This window comes from Homo sapiens, chromosome 15 (assembly GCF_000001405.40).
Source record: "Homo sapiens chromosome 15, GRCh38.p14 Primary Assembly".
Taxonomy (NCBI): Eukaryota; Metazoa; Chordata; class Mammalia; order Primates; family Hominidae; genus Homo; species Homo sapiens.
In genome coordinates, this window is record NC_000015.10 from 36,416,165 (window position 1) to 36,418,124 (window position 1,960).

The 1,960-nt window shown below is 36.1% G+C and overlaps 1 annotated feature.

Annotated features, from left to right (window-relative positions):
* Nucleotides 1,462-1,659: a silencer, noted in NCBI's record as "fragment chr15:36709827-36710024 (GRCh37/hg19 assembly coordinates)". NCBI's record gives its function as "represses an EF-1alpha promoter that drives an FKBP-Casp9 reporter gene in an ReSE screen in HepG2 liver carcinoma cells {active_cell/tissue: HepG2}" and the evidence as "EXISTENCE:reporter gene assay evidence [ECO:0000049][PMID:32094911]".

A 1,960-nucleotide genomic window follows, 5' to 3' on the forward strand; every position in this document is an offset into this window, starting at 1 on the left:
GTTTACTATGAGCCAAACTGTGTCTCTGATGGCTTTCTTTACGTGTTCTCCACTGAGCCAGGCTCTAGAGAGGACAACCACACCCACAAGCCATATTTGAGATGTGAGCCTGAGAGTCCAGTCCGCCTTTGTGGAGCTTTCCCAGCCACCACAAGCCCTGACTGGAAGGTTGAAACTGAGAGTTTGGGAGGAAAGAGGAAGACACTGGTCACTGAATGAGGAAGGACCAGACTCTTCCTTGATTTCTTTTCCTACACTGCCCACACTTACCCCTTTTCCATCCTGGATAAATTTATAACATAAATTATATACTTCAGCTTTGTAAAATATATTTAAAAGCCCAAAAGAGTTACTCCCACTGTTAGTCTTTGCATAGTTATTAGTGTGGATGCTTTAGGAAAGAATATTAATTTTAATATTAACCTTAAGACTCAACTAAAAAATTAATTTTCTGCAAAAAGTTAACATGTTCTATAATATAGTAGAAAATGTAATTGAATAGTCATGATATATTGTCAGTGAAAAAGCAAGATGTAGAACGATGTGAACATTATGATCCTATTTCTGCAAAAAAAATTTTCCTACTAATATTATATACAGATGTAATCATCTGTATTCACTCCAAAATAGTATCAGCCATTCATAAATATTCCAACTATGCCATTAACATTATTTTTAGTTTCTGTACCTAAAATAACTCGAGAATAATTTTTAAGTCTCTAAATAAAGTATGATGCTGAAATGACCTCTTCATGACATAAAAAGTACAAAAACAAGGCTATCATAATGTTTTCAAGAGATTCCCAGACAAAAATGTTCGTGTTATTTTGCAAGCTTCTTTATTTGCATAAAAGCATGCTTGTCACATTTCTATATTTTATTGAACGTCTATTAAGAATATATAATCCAGATGTTCCTTGATTTCAGAAAGCAATTTTTCTTGACTCTGAGCTTGTTTACATTACAAGAGATTCTTTTTTTTTTAATAAAAGAATCAAAGTAATGTTACTTTAAGGCACAAATTCCTCTGTGATTTTATGATTTTATTAAAAATATAAGTTGCAACTTCTCAGGTGTACCCATCATGAAAATATATTAGGTGTCCACATTATTTGCTTGTAAAATATAGTGACTAGATTTATGTTCAAAAATTTGGGAGGCAGTCACACCTTCAGTGTCCCAAGAGTGAGTAGCCTACCTGTACATTTTCTGTTGACCAAGGAAAAGAAATGCTATTCCAAGCAATGCTTCTTCCATCATCCCTCAGACTCTCAAAAGTTGTAGCTTCTTATTCATAGTTTTTAGATGACATCTTTAGCTGTGGATTCAATCTCTGAATATCTCTTTCCTAATGAATTAACATGGGTTTAACTTATGTAAAAATTCTTTATCAAATATGAAAATGGTTGAAATAGAAAATTAAAAGGAATAACATTTTTGTTAATATTTGTGATGTGTTTTGGAAAGCTCACTCCAGTAGACTTTGTTGGTGGCAGGGGCAGTGGGGAGATAATTCAAGAATTTATTAGTCTAGGCCAGACATAAAAGTCTTCAGTCCTGCAACAGCAAAGCAACTTGGAGGGAAAGTGGGGAAATGACAGACAGACATTTTCCCATTCTGCTTCCTTCCCGGAGGAGCCTGTCTCCGCTGTGGAAGCCTAGAAAGCCAGATAGACAAGGAGTCTGAGTGACTGTGAGACCCAGTCCTTACCAATGAACCTGCGGGGAGGCTGCTGATGGTAGTGGGAGGAAGGGTATCCCTAGGAAAGATTTTCCACCCTGATAGGAAGACTGAGGAATTCGAGAAAGAACCCTATCCTTTTGGCTTCTGGATTTTGTTAAGGGAGAAAGTGATGTTTATTGCTACATTGCTATATTGCTGAAGCAGAAGATCAAAGAAGCTGTAGAAAAGCCATCCCAGAGTTCTGATAGTTTCAACTGCTGAACTAACCCTGGAAAC